A 22,150-nucleotide genomic window follows, 5' to 3' on the forward strand; every position below is an offset into this window, starting at 1 on the left:
AGCCTGGAGTAAATTAGAAGGCAGCTGGAAGGAGCCTCCAAATTCAAAGAAATGAAATGTTCCTTTCACAAATTAAAATAAAAAAGCTGGCCCAGATTTTTGCTTATGACATGCTCACACATCTTTTTGTTTCTGCCAGATCACGTTATTTGTGCCAGATGTGAAAAGTTTCCAGTGAAAACAGGCATATTTGTTAAAAAGCCAGGCTTGCTCTGCATGACACATTAACTTTAAAAGGTGGAAGGGAAATTTTTTACTAATGCAGTATTAAAACACCACTCAGGAAAGCAGCACTTGCACAGAGGGCTTTTGTGCATTCGCGATGCTTGTTTGTCGACTTTACTGTGTCCTCCCTTCACCCTGCTCCAGAGTTTGCATGCAAGCTTGACAAAAGGGTAAGAAGTAATGGTTGGTGCCCTGAGCACCTCTTCATCCTTCTTCAACAGCATCAGAGGCTGTATCCAGGGCCCCAGAGGGTCACACTTTCTCACCTCCTCCCACAGTGCCCAGCCAACAGCTGAACTTTGCTGTATACTAAAAACTTGCCTTCGCTGTATACTAAAAGGGCTCCTGACAAATTATTCCCAGGTGTAGTGTCATAAAGCGGGCTGTAGCTTTTCAGTTAAAAAACTATACAAATAAATCATATAATGCTGAATAATACTTTACAAAAAGCAAACATAGATTATAATAATTTAAGGTAAAAAATACATACTGCAAATTTCATAAGATGGTCAAAAATGTATAAGGAGACCGACATACTAAAATATACATGTGCAGCAAACACAAATACAATTCCATCACCACAGATTTGACCTAACACTAACATGTTAGCAATAATAAAGAGTGAACATTTAATAATAGTTTTTCTTGCCTTCTTAAAACTTAGAAGGGAGATGATGTGGATATCCTACTTCTCTGTAGAAGACTTTTTAAGGAAGTCTGAAATAATACCTTCTATTTCATCTCAATACATATTTCCTAATTTTTTTTCTTTTTCTGGAGACAGAGTCTCGCTCTGTCGCCAGGCTGGAGTGCAGTGGCACGATCTTGGCTGAACGCAACCTCTGTCTCCCGGGTTCAAGCAATACTCCTGCCTCAGCCTCCCCAGTAGCTGGGACTACAGGTGCACATCGCCATGCCTGGTTAATTTTTTTTGTTTTTTTTTGTATTTTAGTAGAGACGGGGTTTCACCATGTTGCCCAGGCTGGTCTTGAACTCCTGAGCTCAGGCAACCCACCCGCCTCGGTCTCCCAAAGTGCTGGGATTACAGGTGTGAGCCACTGCGCCTGGCCATATTTCCTAATTTTTATTATATGGGCCACATGTAACTATGTTTACAGTGATTTGTAACAACAGACTCAGTAGTATATAATTTACAGATGATAATTCAAAAAGTCATGAATATCTCACAAAATGTTGGTCCCATTTCTACTTGTGTTTCTCCAGTGACAGAATTCAAGTCCTCCTGAAGAAGCTGATTCCACTTTTAGGTTTATTAGCATGTTTCTCCTTTCCCTGAGTTTTGGGCTGTTTTCCTGTAACTTTACACTTATGTGTCCTAATTCCTTCTAGGAAACCAATGGACAAGGCAAATCCTTCTTCCTTATGACAGCTCCTTCATGTCCACAGGGAGCTCTAATGTTCCAGGTTCTCTAAAGAACAAGAATCTGAGAAAGTTGAAGGAACTGTCTACACTCTTGTGTGCAGAGGTGTTGAAGCATTTTAGGAACTATTTAATTTTTCATAAAGATAAATACCTCTCATTAGACTATATTTAAATACAGACATAAATATGCCTTATTGAAAAGAATCACCCGGTTCATGTAGAGAAAGTCTGTCTCTCACAAGTAATGTTTTTGTTCAATGTTAGTGTAGTGCACCGGGCTACAATAAATTCAAATAAGTAATCGTCCTCACATGTGCATACAACTTCTTCTTGAAAGCTATCCTTTGTGTTGCCCGCTCACACATGATCTGCAAAGCGCGTTCCGCCAAACCTACTGTTCTCATACAGTGGTGGATTCTGCCAGGTCCAAGGCGGCCTTGGGAAATTTCAAATCCCCTACCTTCACCTGGGAAGAAAGGGGAAAAAAAGGGGGAATGTGAAAATGGCCTAGCCCATTCCTTTTGTTATTTATACAAATCCTGGGAAAGAGATGAGCTGCCCTTAATAAAAATGGCTTTCTAGTGAAAAAAAGTCAGTTCTATAATAAGGTTCACTATGAATTCATGGGAATTTTGATTTCTATGTTTTTAAAACCACCACCATTAAACATTTCAAATTTCAGAACTGTCTCTTAAGTATGTACTATGCATAAGCTATTTTATTAATGCTGCAATAGATACAAAGTTGGAATAACACATAGTCCCTGTACTAGGAGTTTAGAATCCAGAAGAGTGGGTAAGGGTAAGAGATACAGAGAGAAACAAAGGCAAAGGAAGAAGAGATTTTCTGTTCATCATTATAACCTCAGGGCCTGGCAGGTATCAGGGGCCTGGTGAATGGATGGGATGAACACAAAAACATTCCTGGAAGAGGTGGTATTCTAGATGTTCTTTGAAAGGGATATAGTATTCTAATAAGCAAGAGGATGGCATACAGTGTTCAAAGTTATTTATGCTTCTAACTTATATCTAATACTTGAATTCATAAAGTACTGAGGTTTTCTTAAAACAAATAGAGGCCTACAGATCATGTTCTAGGAGAAAGTGTATTGCTCTGAATTATATAATTTTCATATTATCTTTTCAATTGATGTGATATAGAAAACCACATCCAACACTTAAATAAAACCTCACCATTCCATGTAAGAAAATCCGCCAAACAGAAAACTTTCCCTTGACAAATGGAGTAAACAAGAAGGGAAAGTATTAGGTTGGTGCAAAAGTAATTGCGGCTTTTGCCAAAAACTGCAATTACCTTGGTGCAAAAGTAATTGCAGTTCAAAAACCGCAATAACTTTTGCACGAACCTAATATCTAAATCAAGGTAGACTTCAGGTCTAAATCTGGAAAGACTTATCTTTTCCAGATTTAGAGCTGAAATATTAATGTACAATACTGAAGAATCATTTCCAAATTCAACTCACCTAGTATTAGATTTGTGGCAGGAACTCGCACTTGATTAAAATGGATCTCAAAATGTCCTCCATGAAAATTATCTATAAAATAGAAAATAAAATTTAGAGCAAAAGGAGTTGACTAAAAAAGAGTCACATATTCTTAATCTGCTGAAATATAATTACTTGAAGAAAATAGGATTTCAAAGATCCATATGGCATGAACATTCTGAGGTAAGCCTCAGCCCTGAACCCCAGGACCCAGCAGCCCAGAAAACTCATCAACTGTTCAAGAAGAGAAACCCTTTGATCCAGATGTTTTCTAATTCATTCTCTGAAGTACAATTTCAGAGAGCTAGGAAAAAGGAAGACCAGGCTCCATAGATCCAGCCAGAGTATTTTATTTGTTTTATTATTGCTGCTTCTTTGAAATATTTTACATATGGGGTTCCAAACAATTTGCATGGAAAAAAGTTTCAATGTTTCAAAAATTAAAAATGAGTAATGTAATCCATGTTTCTTATTTTATCATTGTGGAAACCAACGCCTAAAGATGACAGGGGCCTGCTTGAGGGGAAAGAGCAGGCTTGGCATTAGTGATGATACAGAAACTAGACCTTCAGGTAGGTTTACTCCCAGTCTAGACTTGTTCCACTGTGTGTTCGTCTCTTGAAAATACTGGCATTTGAAACACTGAGGCCAGGAACACGTTCACATTTTATCTTTGCATCACCCCTTCTCCCTGCCAAGTTTTAGAGATAATCTCATGCTAACTCTACACCCTTTTCCTGTCAGAGGAGACAATAATCAGCCTTCTCCACACTGTTTCTTTTGGCCCTGGACACAGGGAGTTGGAGAGGTGCTAGTAAAGTTTTCATACTGAATAATCAAATGTAGCCTCTGCAATGGAAATTATTTGCAGCTCAACTATATTATAAACGCATTTTTGGTATCTTTGCGGCCGTTTCGCTGCAACCCAACAATTTCCTACATGCAATTTTCTCCAGCAAGCTTGCTCATCCCATCTTGCCACCTATGCTTACCCTGTGGGTATACTCTACAGCTGCATCTTAACTGATAAGTGATTCTATAAAACTGCAAGTCTTATATCTGCCACTTGAACATATTCATTAGTCATATTCAATGATAAAAAGAAAGCCAGGGGCTGGGCCCGGTGGCTCATACCTATAATCCCAGCACTTTGGGAGGCCGAGGAGGGTGGATTACCTGAGGTCAGGAGTTCGAGACCAGCCTGGCCAACATGGTGAAAGCCCGTCTCTACTAAAAATACAAAAATTAGCTGGGCATGGTGGCTAAGCAAATACTTGCTGAGAGGGTGATCTTAGCAAATATTTATTGTACACAATGAACACGTGCCACAGTAGGTGGCAGGAAACAAATGGATCTTTGCTTCTTAGAAGTCCCACCCAAGGGCAGAGGAAGGAAAATTTTGCACTCAAATAAGTCAAAAACTCATTGCTTTTTAACAGTTCTTGTAAGTTGATTGATTAAGAGGGCTAAAATTGGAGATAAAAATAATTTTATTGTGGATTATCTGTGCATTAATCCATTTTTATGAATGACAGAGAAAAGACTGGTAGTGTTGCTCTTCCTTAAATACAATCTGCCCTTTCCCAAAAAGGCAGAATTTATATTCTATAAATTCTATAATTTATATAATTATAAATTACATAAATGCTATACTATTTCTTTTTATTGGCTCTACTCTGAACTCCACCAGCATTTATATTAAGACAGTTGTCACAGACAAAGGAATATCTAAGAATCTATCTTATGCATTAAAATGCTATTGCCTTCAATGTTACTGCATATTCTAGCCTTCCTGCTTGCTAATGCATGGTCATATTTATTGGATACCTACCTGTGTAGCCAAAAACTGACAAAGGCCTTATTATTTTTACTCCAGGTGTGTTCATGGGAACAAGAATCATGCTGTGCTGTTTGTGTCTAGTCAAAAGAAAAATTGTATTAGAAAAAGTTTGCTAAGAAGAAAAATAAAACAGATAATAAGCAGAATCACAATTGTCTTTTTGATGTTTTCATGTAGTCATGTAAGCAGTGATGACTGGAATGGGAACTGTGTAAAAGACGTACACCAACATAGTCTGATGCAGGCTGTGATCTGGAACAGAAACAATGATTTGAAAATAAATGAGTTGTTTGATTGAAGCTTCTCACTGCTCAACAATGGTAACTGGGAACTTATATATATAATTAAACATTTCAAGATTATTGCCTTTGATCTAAACATCTAATCACTTCATTACACAGGTCTGAAAAAATTTGTCTGATAATTTAATCCAAACAGCTTTGATAATTTAGCAACACTTTCTAATACTGAAAATTCCACAGCGAAGAATGTTCAGCAATACTCCCTATAATGTTTTCCAAAAACACCTGTTAGAAAATACTTGTGAAATACAAATATATGACATTTACTCTCATATCTTACATTATGATTTGTGAGTCCAAACAGTGAATTTTAAGTAAATTACCTAGATAGGAGGAAGACTGGCTCATTCCTACACAGGTTTCTCAATCAGAATTGTTTAATTACCTGGAGAGAGAAGTATTTTGAGTTCTTCCCAAAACAATTGCAATTTTGCACTTGGGATTCCCAGCTCCTAAAACCAAGGGGAACACAAGCAGATTATAAAAGGAAATTTCTAGTTTGACATTTCACCTTGAAGGTTCTAATCCTTCCCACTTTACCTATGTCAGAAAACAAATAGAGAGAACATTCCTGATTCATTAAGATAATAATTCTTTTGTAACACTCTATATCATCCAAGAAAAATGATTAGGCAAGGCCAAGAATGGACCCCATCAATGAAAGCTGCTACACAAAAATAACCAGAAGTCAAAGCAGCATGAAAGAACTGCCACCTCTCCCATTTACACCATTTCAGACATCAGCATGCTAGAAAAGCTGAGAAATTTTATATGTCTAATATAATATTTTATATGTCAACGTATATGAGGCTGTGATCCCACTTTCAATAAGCCTGGTTCTTTTATTAATTTCTTAAGGGTCAAATTTTAAAAATATTTTTTCATTTTAATGCAAAATTTTATTTTATCACAGTTCAGGGGTCTGTGGCAATTGCCTACAAGGGTCTTTTTGCAAAAATTACTTTTAATGTTTACTAGTAAGTCTAGTCCCTTGGGAAAACTACCATTTGACTAGATTTTCAATTACAAGGCTGCACACAACTGGATCAGATTAAGTTAAACACATCTGTACAAAGTCTCAAACAAATGATCGGATTCTTTTTTCTGATTTATTATAAAAAGAGGTTTGAGGAGATTTGAAATCATATAAAGATTTAATGAGAAATGTTAGGAATGATGTCAAATAGTTGAATAATATTATAAAATTCCAGGAGTTAAAAGGATAAACTCCATGGAACATATTAAAGGACATTGCAGGAATGTAATCAGTAAAGTTCAGACTGTGGGAAATCTATAAGACAACTAATCCAGTTTCTTCAACAATTAAATTGCAATAAAAAGAAAAAAGAGAGATAGAGAAGTAGCTTGTAAGATCAAAAGAGAGAGACCTAAAAGGCGTATCAACCAACAGCAATTTTTAGACCTTACTTAGATCCTAATTCAATCAAACAAAATAAAAAGTATTAATGGTAATTATTAAGCAATTAGAAATGTGAATAGTTATTGGAAATGTCATGATATTAAGTAATTTTAGGTGTGCTAATGGTATTGTGGTTACATTTTTTAAAGAGCCCTTACAGAGACACATACTAAAATATTTGGGAAAGAAATGACATGATGTCTGAGATTTATTTCAAAATATTATGGGAAGAAGATGGGCAGAAGTTAATAACAGATGAAACCTCAACCAGCTACCCTTTCTTTTCTCTTAAGTGTGAATAGAAAACCAAGAATCTGTAGTATGTAAAAAGAACCTGCAATATTAAAGAGAATGACTGGCCAAAAATGTAAGAGACACTTAGAGCCAAAACATGAAGTCTAACATCAGAGTAAAAGGAGTCAAATAAAGAGAAAACAGAGAAAAACAGAGGGAATAATTTATTGAAGAAATGAGCAGAAGAACATTTTCTAGAACTGAAGAAAAACATCTTCAGATTGAAAAAGCCATTGACTAGCAAGAAGAATCTATTAGATAAATGCTTGTGACATTTCAAAACATCAACAAAGAAGAGGAAATCTTAAAAGGTTTCAGAGAGAATAAAACAAGCCAACTAAAAGGACCGAGGATTAGTCTGGCATCAGACTTCTCAACAACCACCAGGGATGCTAGATGAAAATGAATAGTTCAACTTAGAATTTTATACTTGTCCAAACTATCAATTTATGTAATGGAAGAATAAATACATATTCAGATATGTAAGATCTCAGAGAATTTAACTATTATGTACTTTTTCTCAAAAAATTAAGAATATACTCGAGCAAAATAAGGGAGTAAGTCAAGAGAAAGGAAGTCTTAGAATCCAAAAGATAATGGATCCCAGGAAAGTATTATCTGAAAATCCCAGAATAATTGCATCAAAGTATGCCTAAAGGGTAATCAGTCCAGATTGGAAAATAAATACTAAAGTCTTCAAGAGAGAAGTCTCCAGGAAAGAAAGTCAATAGAAGTAAAGGTGCAATCTAGAGATGTGTGTATATGTAAGGGGAAGGAGATATTATAAAAGCAAATAATGCAAATAAAGAGACATGGCAATTAGAAACTCCAGGAAAATAATGTTGAAATGCACAAGTGAACTGTGGTCCAAATATAAAATAATGTGACATGAATTTAATATATAGTATATGAGAAAAGCATTCTAATTGACCTTGATTCTAGAAACAGTCCTCAGAATGGCCCAGGTGATTTTATATTGCATCAGTTACAGAAGGACACAAAATCTAACACACTACTTAGGCCAGCATCAAACAATATTTACATGGTCCTCTAAGATAAGTGCTATGTATTGGTTTTCAAAGTTTACAGTTATCCTGTAGTCAACTACAGTTGTGGCTGCAAGACAGAATATAAATATTAGTAATCCTGAAAATGTGAAAGTATAAGCTGTAGCTGATACAAGTTACAATAAGAAAGGGAGGGATAAAGAGTGTAGAAAGGGTTAAGAGTATACATATTCTTATATTAAAGTAGAGCTTGAATAGAATCTGTGAAATGAGGATGCAGAGAACTTTAACAATTATTTGAGGTTTAAAAAATAAAAAAACAACAAAAAACAATGTAATAAGATAAATACGTTAAGAAAGAGCAGAGAGAGTTATGAGACAAATGAGTGAAATTGTCATTATTCAAATTGGAGAGCCAATGGATACTGTCTAAAATGAATAAATTAAGAAAGAGAAAAAATATTTTATCTACAATTATAATGGAAACCAGAGAACTACAAACAGAAACTGTTAAAAAAAAAAAAGAGTTTTCTGTAGGGCATGATGTTTGGATGTGGAGACATGGGAAACAATGCTCTCAGATATTTTTTCCTTTGTTACTACTTCTAACTGGGTAATAATGACTTTAAAAACATTAAAGAAAAAAACCCATCTTGTAAACAAATCTGTGGATTCCCAAGTAGGAGACTGAGAGGCTTGTTGAGTGAACTACAATGTTTTATTTTTCTTTCTGAATTTGCTTTTAATCTGAATATCTAATCTGAGGGCTGTGGAGGAGTCATTTCCCCACTTCTATGTAATACATAACTCCAGAAATCCTACATGCACACTCTCTGACAAAATGCTAAAACTGATTTAAAAAAAAAACACCTAAAATAGATATTATCTGAGAAAGGGAGGGAAGGAGAGGAAGGCAGTGTGCCTAAAATGGGTGACTCTGTTCACCTCCAGGCTGGTGGTAGAATAAGGAGACACCTTAAACCGACTTAGAACTTGAATTGTAAGCCTGCTTTCTCCATAGTCACAGCCTCAGAGTTGTAAGAACATGCAATCATATATGCATATAAATGATTTTATATACGACTAAAAAGGAAGAGAGAGGACTCTTAACTAACTGGGACAGAAAATTTTTTAACAACATGCATTACATCGATGTTCATCAGGGATATTGGTCTAAAATTCTGTTTTTTTGTTGTGTCTCTGCCAGGCTTTGGTATCAGGATGATGCTGGCCTCATAAAATGAGTTAGGGAGGATTCCCTCTTTTTCTATTGATTGGAATAGTTTCAGGAGGAATGGTACCAGCTCCTCCTTGTACCTCTGGTAGAATTCAGCTGTGAATCCATCTAGTCCTGGACTTTTTTTCACTGGTAAGCTATTAATTATTGCCTCAATTTCAGACCCTGTTATTGGTCTATTCAGAGATTCAACTTCTTCCTCGTTTAGTCTTGGGAGGGTGTATGCGTCGAGGAATTTATCTATTTCTTCTAGATTTTCTAGTTTATTTGCATAGAGGTGTTTATAGTATTCTCTGATGGTAGTTTGTATTTCTGTGGGATCGGTGGTGATATCCCCTTTATCATTTTTTATTGCATCTATTTGATTCTTCTCTCTTTTCTTCTTTATTAGTCTGCTAGAGGTCTATCAATTTTGTTGATCTTTTCAAAAAACCAGCTCCTGGATTCACTGATTTTTTGAAGGGTTTTTTGTGTCTCTATTTCCTTCAGTTCTGCTCTGATCTTAGCTATTTCTTGCCTTCTGCTAGCTTTTGAATGTGTTTGCTCTTGCTTCTCTAGTTCTTTTAATTGTGATGTTAGGGTATCAATTTTAGGTCTTTCCTGCTTTCTCTTGTGGGCATTTAGTGCCATAAATTTCCCTCTACACACTGCTTTGAATGTGTCCCAGAGATTCTGGTATGTTGTGTCTTTGTTCTCGTTGGTTTCAAAGAACATCTTTATTTCTGCCTTCATTTCGTTATGTACCTAGTAGTCATTCAGGAGCAGGTTGTTCAGTTTCCATGTAGTTGAGCAGTTTGGAGTGGTTTTCTTAATCCTGAGTTCTAGCTTGATTGCACTGTGGTCTGAGAGACAGTTTGATATAATTTCTGTTCTTTTACATTTGCTGAATTTGCTGAGAAGTGCTTTACTTCCAACTATGTGGTCAATTTTGGAATAGGTGTGGTGTGGTGCTGAAAAGAATGTATATTCTGTTGATTTGGGGTGGAGAGTTCTGTAGATGTCTACTAGGTCCGCTTGGTGCAGAACTGAGTTCAATTCCTGGATATCCTTGTTAACTTTCTGTCCCGTTGATCTGTCTAACGTTGACAGTGGGGTGTTAAAGTCTCCCATTATTATTGTGTGGGAGTCTAAGTCTCTTTGTAGGTCTCTAAGGTCTTGCTTTATAAATCTGGGTGCTCCTATATCGGGTGCATATATATTTAGGATAGTTAGTTCTTCTTGTTGAATTGATCCCTTCACCATTATGTAATGGCCTTCTTTGTCTCTTTTGATCTTTGTTGGTTTAAAGTCTGTTTTATCAGAGACTAGGATTGCAACCCCTGCCTTTTTTTGTTTTCCACTTGCTTGGTAGACTTTCCTCCAGCCCTTTATTTTGAGCCTATGTGTGTCTCTGCACGTGAGATGGGTTTCCTGAATACAGTACACTGATGGGTCTTGACTCTTTTTCCAATTTGCCAGTCTGTGTCTTTCAATTGGAGCATTTAGCCCATTTACATTTAAGGTTAATATTTTTATGTGTGAATTTGATCCTGTCATTATGATGTTAGCTGGTTATTTTGCTCATTGGTTGATGCAGTTTCTTCCTAGCCTCGATGGTCTTTACAGTTTGGCATGTTTTTGCAGTGGCTGGTACCACTTTTTCCTTTCAGAGCCAAATCATGAGTGAACTCCCATTCACAATTCCTTCAAAGAGAATAAAATACTTAGGAATCCAACTTACAAGGGACGTGAAGGACCTATTCAAGGAGAACTACAAACCACTGCTCAATGAAATAAAAGAGGATACAAACAAATGGAAGAACATTCTATGCTCATGGGTAGGAAGAATCAATATTATGAAAATGGCCATACTGCCCAAGGTAATTTATAGATTGAATGCCATCCCCATCAAGCTACCAATGACTTTCTTCACAGAATTGGAAAAAACTACTTTAAAGTTCATATGGAACCAAAACAGAGCCTGCATTGCCAAGTCAATCCTAAGCCAAAAGAACAAAGCTGTAGGCATCACGCTACCTGACTTCAAACTATACTACAAGGCTACAGTAACCAAACAGCATGGTACTGGTACCAAAACAGAGATATAGACCAATGGAACAGAACAGAGCCCTCAGAAATAATGCCGCATATGTACAACTATCTGATCTTTGACAAACCTGACAAAAACAAGAAATGGGGAAAGGATTCCCTATTTAATAAATGGTGCTGGGAAAACTGGGTAGCCATATGTAGAAAGCTGAAACTTGATCCCTTCCTTACACCTTATACAAAAATTAATTCAAGATGGATTAAAGACTTACGTGTTAGACCTAAAACCATAAAAACCCTAGAAGAAAACCTAGGCAATACCATTCAGGACATAGGTATGGGCAAGGACTTCATGTCTAAAACACCAAAAGCAATGTCAACAAAAGACAAAATTGACTTCAATTAATTAAACTAAAAAGCTTCTGCACAGCAAAAGAAACTACCATCAGAGTGAACAGGCAACCTACAGAATGGGAGAAAATTTTTGCCATCTACTCATCTGACAAAGGGCTAATATCCAGAATCTACAATGAACTCAAACAAATTTACAAGAAAAAAACAAACAACCCCATCAAAAAGTGGGCAAAGGATATGAATAGACACTTCTCAAAAGAAGACATTTATGCAGCCAAAAGACACATGAAAAAATGCTCATCATCACTGGCTATCAGAGAAATGCAAATCGAAACCACAATGAGATACCATCTCACACCAGTTAGAATGGCAATCATTAAAAAGTCAGGAAACAACAGGTGCTGGAGAGGATGTGGAGAAACAGGAACACTTTTACACTGTTGGTGGGACTGTAAACTAGTTCAACCATTGTGGAAGTCAGTGTGGTGATTCCTCAGGGATCTAGAACTAGAAATACCATTTGACCCAGCCATCCCATTACTGGGTATATACCCAAAGGATTATAAATCATGCTGCTATAAAGACACATGCACACGTATGTTTATTGTGGCACTATTCACAATAGCAAAGACTTGGAACCAACCCAAATGTCCAATAATGATAGACTGGATTAAGAAAATGTGGCACATATACACCATGGAATAGTACACAGCCATAAAAAATGATGAGTTCATGTCCTTTGTAGGGACATGGATGAAGCTGGAAACCATCATTTTCAGCAAACTATCGCAAGGACAAAAAAGCAAACACCGCATGTTCTCACTCATAGGTGGGAATTGAACAATGAGAACACATGGACACAGGAAGGGGAACATCACACACCAGAGCCTGTTGTGGGGTGGGGGGAGGCAGGAGAGATAGCATTAGGAGATATACCTAATGTTAAATGACGAGTTAATGGGTGCAGCACACCAACATGGCACATGTATACATATGTAACAAACCTAGACGTTGTGCACATGTACCCTAAAACTTAAAGTGTAATAAAAAAAAAACCACATGCATTAAATTGACCAAGAGATGTCCCACTGCAATCAGATACCAAATATGTTGGGCAAAATTATCTGTCCCATTTTTCCCCCAAATACATGACTTATTGTCTATATTACATCTGAGAGAGAAAAACCATTTTCTCTACCCTTCTGGGCATTTGCTCCATCATCTTATTAGATAAAATAAGAAACTATTATACTGAAAATAAATTTTCACTAAAAGAAAAATACAAGCATTTTCATAAATACAAGTTAAAAAATGTAATGTTTTTCAAGTAGAACATTTTATCATGCATCAAAAAGTCTATAATAGGCTGGGCACAGTGGCTCACGCCTGTAATCCCAACACTTTGGGAAGCTGAGGTGGGCGGATCACCTGAGGCCAGGAGTTCGAGACCAGCCTGGCCAACATGGCGAAACCCCGTCTCTACTAAAAATACAAAAAATTAGCCAGGCATGGTGGTGGGCGCCTGTAATCCCAGCTACTTGGCAGGCTGAGGCAGGAGAATTGCCTGAACCCGGGAGGCAGAGGCTGCAGTGAGTGAGCTGAGATTGCGCCATTGCACTCCAGCCTGGGCAACAAGAGCAAAACTCTGTCTCAAAAAAGAACAAAAAAACAAAACTCTGGTACGTGCACTGACATTAGACAACAAAGACCCTTAATTCAGGTTAAACACATTTATTTTATATCAATCAAAAATAATTAGCAGTTTTAGAATTTTTAGTTTATTCTTTTTTCAAATGCAAATCTCTCCCTCTTGCCTCTTCTGGAACTCTAATCACACATATTTTAGAGTCCCTAGGATTGTTCATTTCTTTACATCTTTTCTTCATATTGGGTAATTTCTGTTGTCTATCTTCAAGTTCGTTCATTCTTTCCTCTGTTATCTCCATTATGTTATTAAGCCCAGTCAGTGAATTTCTTTTCAGATATTTTACCTTTAAGTTCTGATATTCCTACCTGGTTATTTTTTATGTTTTCTATTTCTCTTCTGATATTTCTTAATGTTTTATTTTTCTTGACCTCAATGAGCACATTTATAATAGCTGCCTTAAGTCCTTGTCTGATGATTCCAACATTTGAATCATTTGGGTGTTGGCCTTCCCCCTTGAAAATGGGTCATGTTTTCCTTATTCTTCATTGGTTGAGCAATTTTAGATTGTATTCCGGACATTGTGATTTTTTTGTTTTGAAACTCTGGATTCTGTCATATTCCTCCACAGAATGTTGATGGTTTTGTTTTGACAGGCAATTAACTTAGGTAGAGTAAAACTGCAGAGTCTATCACAATTCAGGTGGATGGGAAATCAAATTTCAGCGTAGTTCTTATTATTTAGCTGCAAGGTGCTTTGAGTTTGCCCTGCGCATTACTTTCATTCAGGAGTTAGCCAGAGACCCAAGCAAAGTTTCCACATGAAAGCTGGAGCTCCCCTTTTCTGGCTTTTTCCTTTCCAGGAATACCCACCTCATTTCCCAGCAGTGATGGTTGCCCTAGACACTCTCCTCTGGTTCCTCAGGACACAGAGATCTGAGTTTTCTAAAGAAGCTTTAGCTTTCCTGTTCCACACTGTTTCCTCAGGCTAAAGTCTAAAAATGAAAAACTCACCCTGTGCCCATCTCACTTTCCAAATTTTGACTCCCCTACAAAATCAGCTTGCCTTTGTTCACTTCCCTGAGAATTTCAGGCAGGCAGGTATGTATGTATGTATGTATGTATGTATGTATGCATGTAGGTATTTTGTAGCTTTTTAGCTGTTATCTGTGGGAAGGTTCATCTTAAGCACTTACTCCACCAGACTAGCGTAGAACTCCCCCAGAGTTCTTACCTTTAAACTTTGCCAAAAATCAGGTCTTCACTTACCCAGTGTTATAATTTCTTATACATTCATTAATATTTGAATACAAATATACATTTTTATTCATGACAAATATATGAGTTTTATTTATCAGCTGAAGTTTGAGAAATGCAATGCTCACTTCAAAATGATCACATAAGCAGAACTAGAAATCTTAGCTCTAAAATTTCAAAACCAATAAAACCAAGAGCTTAAAATTCTAATCTCCTCCATTATTCCATACTATAAATAACATACGTAAAATATAGTTAAGATTGAAATGCAACGGCTTTAAAACTGTTGCTTATAATTTAGATTCCTTCAAATTTAATGGAATCTTGTTTTAATCAGTTCAGAAAGGACCATCCTCATTTGTACTAATGAGAAAAGATCCCCCATTCACATATTTCAAAGTTAAGTTTTAAAAATCTTAAATGTCATATTCTTCACAGTAACTCTATTTGGCTTTCCTAATTTATCCAAACGTCTAAATTTTCAAATTGTTTATCATTGTTTATATTTACAGAAATATGTCCTTTTGATTTTATAGATGCTAACAGGTAAAGAAACTGCTATGGTCTGAATGTATATGTCACCCCCTAGAAGTCATGTTTTGGAATCCTAACCCCCAAGCTGATTTTATGTGGAGATGAAGCCTTTGGTCCGAAAGGCGGTGATTAAGTGATTAAAATGCAATTAGTGTATTTATCAAAGAGGCCTGAGAGAGCTTGGTCACCTTTTTCACTATATGAGGACAGAACAAGAAGGTGCCATCTATGAACCAGAATGCAGGCCCTCACCAGGCACCAACTCTATTGGTGCCTTGTTCTTAGACTTTTCAGCCTCTAGAACCATGAGAAATACATTTTTGTTGTTTAGAAGTTACCTAATTAATGGTGTTGTGTAATAGTGGCCTGAATGGACTATGACAAAATTCCACTAATCTGAGGACCAACCCAAAGAACATTAGGATGATTTAATGGCAGATGACAATACTTACCTTTCATTGTGGATCTTACCTAAATGACTTATCTGGAAATGCTCAGTTGGGGTAATCTTTTATCCCTGGCTATGCAATAATATGCAATCATGCTTTGATTCTTAGTTAGAAATTATAGAGGAAGAATCATTTACAGAGCGTTCACTTCTAATTTTTCAACTGGATATTTTTCTACTTGGGACTATCTTTGAGGTTTTAGTTGTAGGAAGCCTTGGCCAGTGCCTCTCTAGATGCCTACAGGCTGAAGGATCAACGCTACTTGCCCCACATAATGCATTGTGTGGGCATACTCCATGGTGGGCATACTTCTGAAAATCAGATTAGGACATAACAACATGATTTGAGGTTCATTTTCATTAGAAATATTTTCTTTAAAAAAAGCAAACTTTTATTTTAGGTTTGGGGGGTAAATGTGAAGGTTTGTTACATAGGTGAACTTGTGTCATTAGGGTTTGTTGCACAGATTATTTCACCACCCAGGTATTAAGCCCAGTACCCAATTGTTATCTTTTCTGCTCCTTTCCCTCCTCCCACCCTCCACCCTCAAGCAGACCTCTGTGTCTGTTGTTTCCTTGTTTGCGTTCGTAAGTTCTCATCATTTAGTTCCCACTTATAAGTGAGAACATGCGGTATTTGTTCTTGTGCTAATTTGCTAAGGATAATAGCCTCCAGCTCCATCCATGTTCCTGCAAAAGACATGATCTCATTCTTTTTAATGACTGCATAGTATTCCATGGTGTATATGTACCACATATTCTTTATCCAATCTGTCATTGATGGGCATTTAGGTTGATTCCATTGTGAGTAGTGCTGCAATGAACATTCACATGCATATGTCTTTATGGTAGAATAATTTCTGTTCCTTTGGGTATATACCCAGTAATGGGATTGCTGGGTTGAATGGTAGTTCTGGGTTTTTTGTTTTTGTTTTTGGATTTTTTTGAGACAGTCTCACTCTGTTGCCAAGGCTGGAGTAGAGTGGCGCGATCTCAGCTCACTGCAATCTCCCTGCTCCCAGGTTCAAGTGATTCTCGTGCCTTGGCCTCCTGAGTAGCTGGGATTACAGGCATGGCCACCATGCTTGGCTAATTTTTGTATTTTGGGGTTTTGCCATGTTGGCCAGGCTGGTCTCAAACTCCTCGCCTCAAGTGATCCTCCCGCCTTAGCCCCCCAAAGTGCTGGGATTACAGGCATGATCCACCGTGCCCGGCCAGTAGTTCTGTATTTAGCTCTCTGGGGAATCTCCATACTGCTTTCCACAATGGTTGAACTAATTCACACTCCCACCAACAGTGTATTAAGTGTTCCTTTTTTTCTACAACCTCACCCGCATCTGTTATTTTTTGACTTTTTAATAATAGCCATCCTGACTGGCGTGAGATGGTATCTCATTGTGATTTTGATTTGCATTTCTCTAATGATCAGTGATATTGAGGTTTCTTTCATATTTTGTTGGCTGCATATATATCTTCCTTTGAAAAGTTTCTGTTCATGTCATTCGCCCACTTTTTAATGAGATTGTTTTTCTCTTGTAAATTTGTTCAAGTTCCTTATAGATGCTGGATATTGGACCTTTGTCAGATACATAGTTTGCAAATATTTTCTTCCATTCTGTAGGTTGTCTGCTCACTCTGCTGATAGTTTCTTTTGCTATGCAGAAGCTCTTAAGTTTAATTAGATCTCACTTGTCAATTTTTGCTTTTGCTGTGATTGCCTTTGGTGTCTTTGTCATGTACCCTTTGCCCACCCCTATGTCTAGGACAGTATTGCCTAGGTCATCTTCCAGGGTTTTTATAGTTTTGGGTTTTACATTTAAGTCTCTAATTCATTTTGAATTAACTTTTGTATATGGTGTAAGGTACGGGTCCAGCTTCAATCTTCTGCATATGGCTAGCCAGTTATCCCAGCACTATCTATAGAATAGGGAGTCTTTTCCCCACTGCTTGTTTTTGTCAGCCTTGTCAAAGATCAGATGGTCATAGGTGAGCAGCCTTATTTCTGGGCTCTATTCTGTTCCATTGGTCTATGTGCCCATTTTCAGAGATATTTTTCTTTCTCTACTTTCCATTCTGGCAATCAAGAACATCTGGGTAAATCTTTCAAGGTTTCACTGATGCTAGCTATCCAGCATCAGTGAGCTGAAGTAAAATCTTCTAATTCCTTTGAACCCTGGTCTAAAGCCCTCTTTTTCGAATATTCAGAATATATAATTTTGTATCTAATATTTCCCAATATTACTTCTTACCTCATTCTTTCTATCATTTAAAAATGTTGGCCGGGCATGATGACTCATATCTGTAATCCCAGAATTTTGGGAGGCTGAAGTGGCAGGATCGCTTGAGCTCAAGAGTTTGAAACCAGCCCGGGCAACCTAGCGACACCTCGTCTATACAAAAAAATTTAAAAATTCACCAAGCACGGTGCAGCACATCTGTAGTCCCAGCTACTCGGGATGTTGAGATGGCAGGACTGCTTGAGCCCCGGGAAGTCAAGGTTGCAGTGAGCCGTGATCATGCCACTGCATTCTAGCCTAGGCAATAGAGTGAGATTTTGTCTCCAAACAAAGCAAAGAAACAAAAATGTTGCCACAGCCTTATATAAATGCCCAATAGATTTCCGATACCAGGTAAATTTTGAAGAAACTCAAGAAGTAAGGCAAATAATTCTTTGATTCTGTCTTCCTCAATCTTATATGGAGAACAATTAATATTCTAAAAAATACAATTTTTAAGTTGGATGTCTGTTGTCATCATGAAGTAGAGGAAGTAAGGGTGAATACATAGTTTGTAGAATTTGAAATATTTGTATTTAACAATGATGTTTCAGAAAAATGAGAAAAACCCTTCCCAAAGATATCATCTCCCCTTAGCTACAAGCAGAATTTGGCAAGTGCAGCAGTTGAAACAACCTTCTTTTATAGAGAGTTTTGCTTGTTTGTGTCATTTTAGTTAATGAACAAGATACCCAATGTCATAAATAAAATATATTAGAGGAAATCTGAATAGAACAGAGAACATTTAAACATATATGCTGTGTCACAGGCCTTCATGAATGAAAACAGATGGCTTAGATAAAGTAATTTTGTTTTTAATCCAGACACTGTGGTATTTCAAGGCTGTTCAAGTGCCAGGATTAAGTCAGGCTAAAAATTACATCTCCCTGATGTTAGTTGATGATTTTTAATTTCTTAGGCTTTTACCCACAAAATCATTTTCTAACAAAAGGAGAGATGATAGGTGGATAAAAAAACATGACCTTTGAGTATAGTGTGGTTTGTAACAATTAAGAAAGTGATGTAAACAATTACATACTATGAAGCATAGATAGCCATCCACAAATTCTCAAGGCCGTTTCTTCTACCAACATAGAATTTCTGAGGTAGAACACCTGAACTTCATTTGGTTTTAGCTTTAATACTAACAATTCAAATTGGAGTAAGTACTATTTTACAATAAAATTTCCCTTATATGAAAAAAGATGTTCATTGTACAATCCCACAGTTAAAGAAAAAAAATCCCATGTGTTCTCTTAGAGTGTGTGTTATTTTTAACAGGGAAATCTTCAAAATTCACTGAATCCATCTCTAGGTTTACATCTAAATAATAAGAATTAAGTAATAATGTTACAAGCTGCTGCTATTACTGTTGTTACTATAGAAAATGGTTAGATCAAAATAAATCCCAAATAGAGCAGAGTTGAAAATTAAAAAAAACCAAGACATAAAAAAACTAGAAGAAAAATAATATAATATTTATTAAATCTCTGGGTGAGAAAGGATTTTAAAACTTAAAAATGATAAATGAAATCAAAATCAGACAAAGATCAATTGGTTTGTCTATATAAAACTGCTGTACATTAGAAAATAAAATTTAAAAGCAAAAAAAAATTGGGGGGGAATGTTTCAACATTTATGACAAAATGTATGCAATACTTAGCTCCCTAAATTATAAAGAACACCTAAAAATCAGTATACAGATGGGCAAAGAACACAATTGCAAAAAGAGGAAATAAGAATAATAAAAGAGATTTTTAAAATTGCTTAACTTTACCACTAATCAAATAAACGTGGAGTACAGCAATAATGAAAACATTCAAAAGCAGTTTATTATCCAGTATTCCACACATGCCTGGCAAGGGTAGGTAAGGGGTGCTGAATTTGTTACAAGTCATTTAGAAAGCAAAGTGGTAGTAAAACAACACATTCTATTGACAATATTTTAGAAAAACAGACATTTCTATACATTATTGGTAGAGAACAAAGTAATACCATCCCTATGGAATACAATTTGGCAATATTCATCAAAATTACAGATTCATCCCAGCACTTTTGTTGGCCAGGATGGGTGGATTGTTTGAGTCTAGGAGTTGGAGGCCAGGCTGGGCAACATAGCAAAATGACAGTACAAGAGGAGGGATGAGAAGAGGGTGTGGGGAGAGAGATTCTTCAAGAACAAGGGACATTGCTATGTTAGGGAGGTTAAGAGTAGGAGCCAATTTATGGTAAGCAGCAAAATGGAATCATAGTCAGTTCTAAGGAATATGAGAAGTAGAAGAGAGCTAAAGAAGCATCAAGTAAGTACTTTGAAAAGTTGCCTAAGGTGAGTGATGCTTCTGCCTACCCTCTAAGCTACATGATTATTTCACGTATTTTGTCAAATTTCCCTATTACCACTGTCTCTCCTAGTTCTATCAGGAGAAAAGGGAAAATACAGGAAAAGGCCAGCCAGTCAGCTAGTTTCACCATGATTCATACACTATGATTTATACACAGCATTCATACACACGCTACCAGAGGAAGCTGCTCAATCCTGAGATCCCCTATGCCTCAAGGGCTTTGTATGTGTCTGAATTAGCAAAAACAATGTGTAAATTCAAAAGATGTAAAGATTATAGCATTACAACCGATTTGCAATAAAGGAATCCCATTTACAAAAAAGCTTATGGTTGTTGGGGGTGGGGTAAATAAAGGAAAGGGATAGATACTTTTGAATCTATAAAAGAGTATCAAGATTCTATAATAGATGGCATCATAAAATAAAGAGATATAAGAGATAAGATGATAAAATAGACTAAAGATCTGAATTTAGAACTCCAGCTCCATTGCTAAACTTTATGTCTGTGGAGGATAAGTTACTTAAATATCAGTTGATTGATTCATGAATTTAATCATTATTCATTAAGCTGGTACCATGAGTAAGGTACCAAGCCAAATGCTGAGGATACAGCAGGGTATAAGATAGCTATGGAAGATAGAAAATTTAAATAAGTACCAACAATACAGTGAAAAGACTGGTATATCTGATCTAATCTGAAAGAGTTATGGAAGGCTTCCTGGATTAATGTTAAGGTCAGACCTAAATCTGAATTGTAAATAGGAGTTAGGGAACTAAAATAGGGTGGGAAGAGTGCTCTAGACAGGAATAATAGTACTTGCAAATGCCTAAAAGTCAGTATTGTGTATCATATAGAAAGATCAAAGAGATTATTATCTGATAATTATGGAGGCTGCAGTTGCAGACCAGTTGTTAGATAATAATCAAAATGGACAGTAGAATGTTTTTATTAATTCAAAATATTTTTGAGTAGTCATTATGTGTCAGGTATTATTCTTGGTACTCGGGATATATCAATGAACAAAGCAAACAAAAGTCCCTGTTCTGATGAAGCTTATGTTCTAATACAGGGTGAAAGACAAATTACAGCAATCACAGCATAAATGATATGGTGCATTAGAACATGTTAAGTGCTATGGGTCTGGTGGACTGGGAGTCCAGATGGATGAGGGTTATTTTAAGTAGAGTAGTGAAGAATTGCCTCAGTGAGCTGGTGGTGATTGGGCAAAGACTTGAAAGAGAAGAGGAAGTGAGCTTTGCAATTACTAAGACAGAGCACATTCCAGCAGACAGAAGAGCCAGCACAAAAGCCCTGATAGGATTGTGACTGGTATGCTCTCAAACAGCAAGAAGCTGGGTATGGCAGAACAAGTAGGCAAAGGGGTGAGTAGTGTGAAATGAGGTCAGAGAGACAATGAGGGATGGAGGCAGACCTTGTGGGATCTTGTAGACTACTATGAGAGTTCATGATGAAGCAATTGCAATAGAAGCAAAAATTGACAAATGGGACCTAATTAAACTGAAGAGCTTCTGCACAGCAAAAGAAACTATCAACAGAGTAAAGAGACAACTTACAGAATGGGAGAAAATCTTTGCAAACTATGCATCTGACAAAGGTCTAATATCCAGCATCTATAAGAAATTTAAATTTACAATTAAAAACAACCCTATTAAAAAGTGGGCAAAGGATGTGAACAGACAGTTCTCAAAAGAAGACATACATACCGCCAACAATCATATGAAAAAAAGCTAAACATCACTGATCATTAGAGAAATGCAAATCAAAATCACAATGAGATACCATCTCACACCAGTCAAAATGGCTATTATTAAAAACTCAAAAAATTACAGCTGCTGGTGAGGTTGTGAAGAAAAAGGAGCACTTACAAACTGTTGGTGGGAGTGTAGAAAACAGTGTGGCAATTCCTCAAAGACCTAAAGACAGAAATATCATTCGAGCCAACAATTCCATTACTGGGTATATACCCAAAGGAATATAAATTATTCTATTATAAAGACACATGCATGCATATGTCCATTGCAGCACTATGCAC

At 36.6% G+C, this 22,150-nt stretch overlaps 1 protein-coding gene and 1 long non-coding RNA gene across 5 annotated transcripts in view; both read right to left on the reverse strand.

Annotated features, from left to right (window-relative positions):
* NPHP3-ACAD11 (NPHP3-ACAD11 readthrough (NMD candidate)) overlaps window positions 1–22,150 on the reverse strand; it is a 164,322-nt gene that overhangs the window by 15,714 nt on the left and 126,458 nt on the right. Inside the window, exons 40-42 of the long non-coding RNA NR_037804.1 lie at window positions 4,945–5,707; window positions 3,093–3,164; window positions 1,921–2,075 (exon numbers count right to left, since the gene is read on the reverse strand). This is a non-coding gene — a long non-coding RNA (NPHP3-ACAD11 readthrough (NMD candidate)). The remainder of the gene's footprint in view (window positions 1–1,920; window positions 2,076–3,092; window positions 3,165–4,944; window positions 5,708–22,150) is intronic.
* The window catches only part of ACAD11 (acyl-CoA dehydrogenase family member 11), a 101,669-nt gene that overhangs the window by 15,711 nt on the left and 63,808 nt on the right, over window positions 1–22,150 (reverse strand). For 2 of the 4 annotated variants that reach the window (NR_132428.2, NM_032169.5), the window contains 4 exons: window positions 5,641–5,707; window positions 4,945–5,030; window positions 3,093–3,164; window positions 1,921–2,075 (listed from right to left, as the gene is read on the reverse strand). Coding sequence is in view for 1 of the 4 variants with exons in the window: in NM_032169.5 (NP_115545.3) it covers window positions 1,921–2,075; window positions 3,093–3,164; window positions 4,945–5,030; window positions 5,641–5,707 (380 nt within the window). In the remaining 3 variants the exon portion in view is untranslated. Of the gene's footprint in view, window positions 1–1,920; window positions 2,076–3,092; window positions 3,165–4,944; window positions 5,708–22,150 lie in introns of all 4 variants that reach the window. The other 2 variants (NR_132426.2, NR_132427.2) reach the window with 2 other exon arrangements.

Source organism: Homo sapiens, chromosome 3 (assembly GCF_000001405.40).
Source record: "Homo sapiens chromosome 3, GRCh38.p14 Primary Assembly".
Classification (NCBI taxonomy): Eukaryota; Metazoa; Chordata; class Mammalia; order Primates; family Hominidae; genus Homo; species Homo sapiens.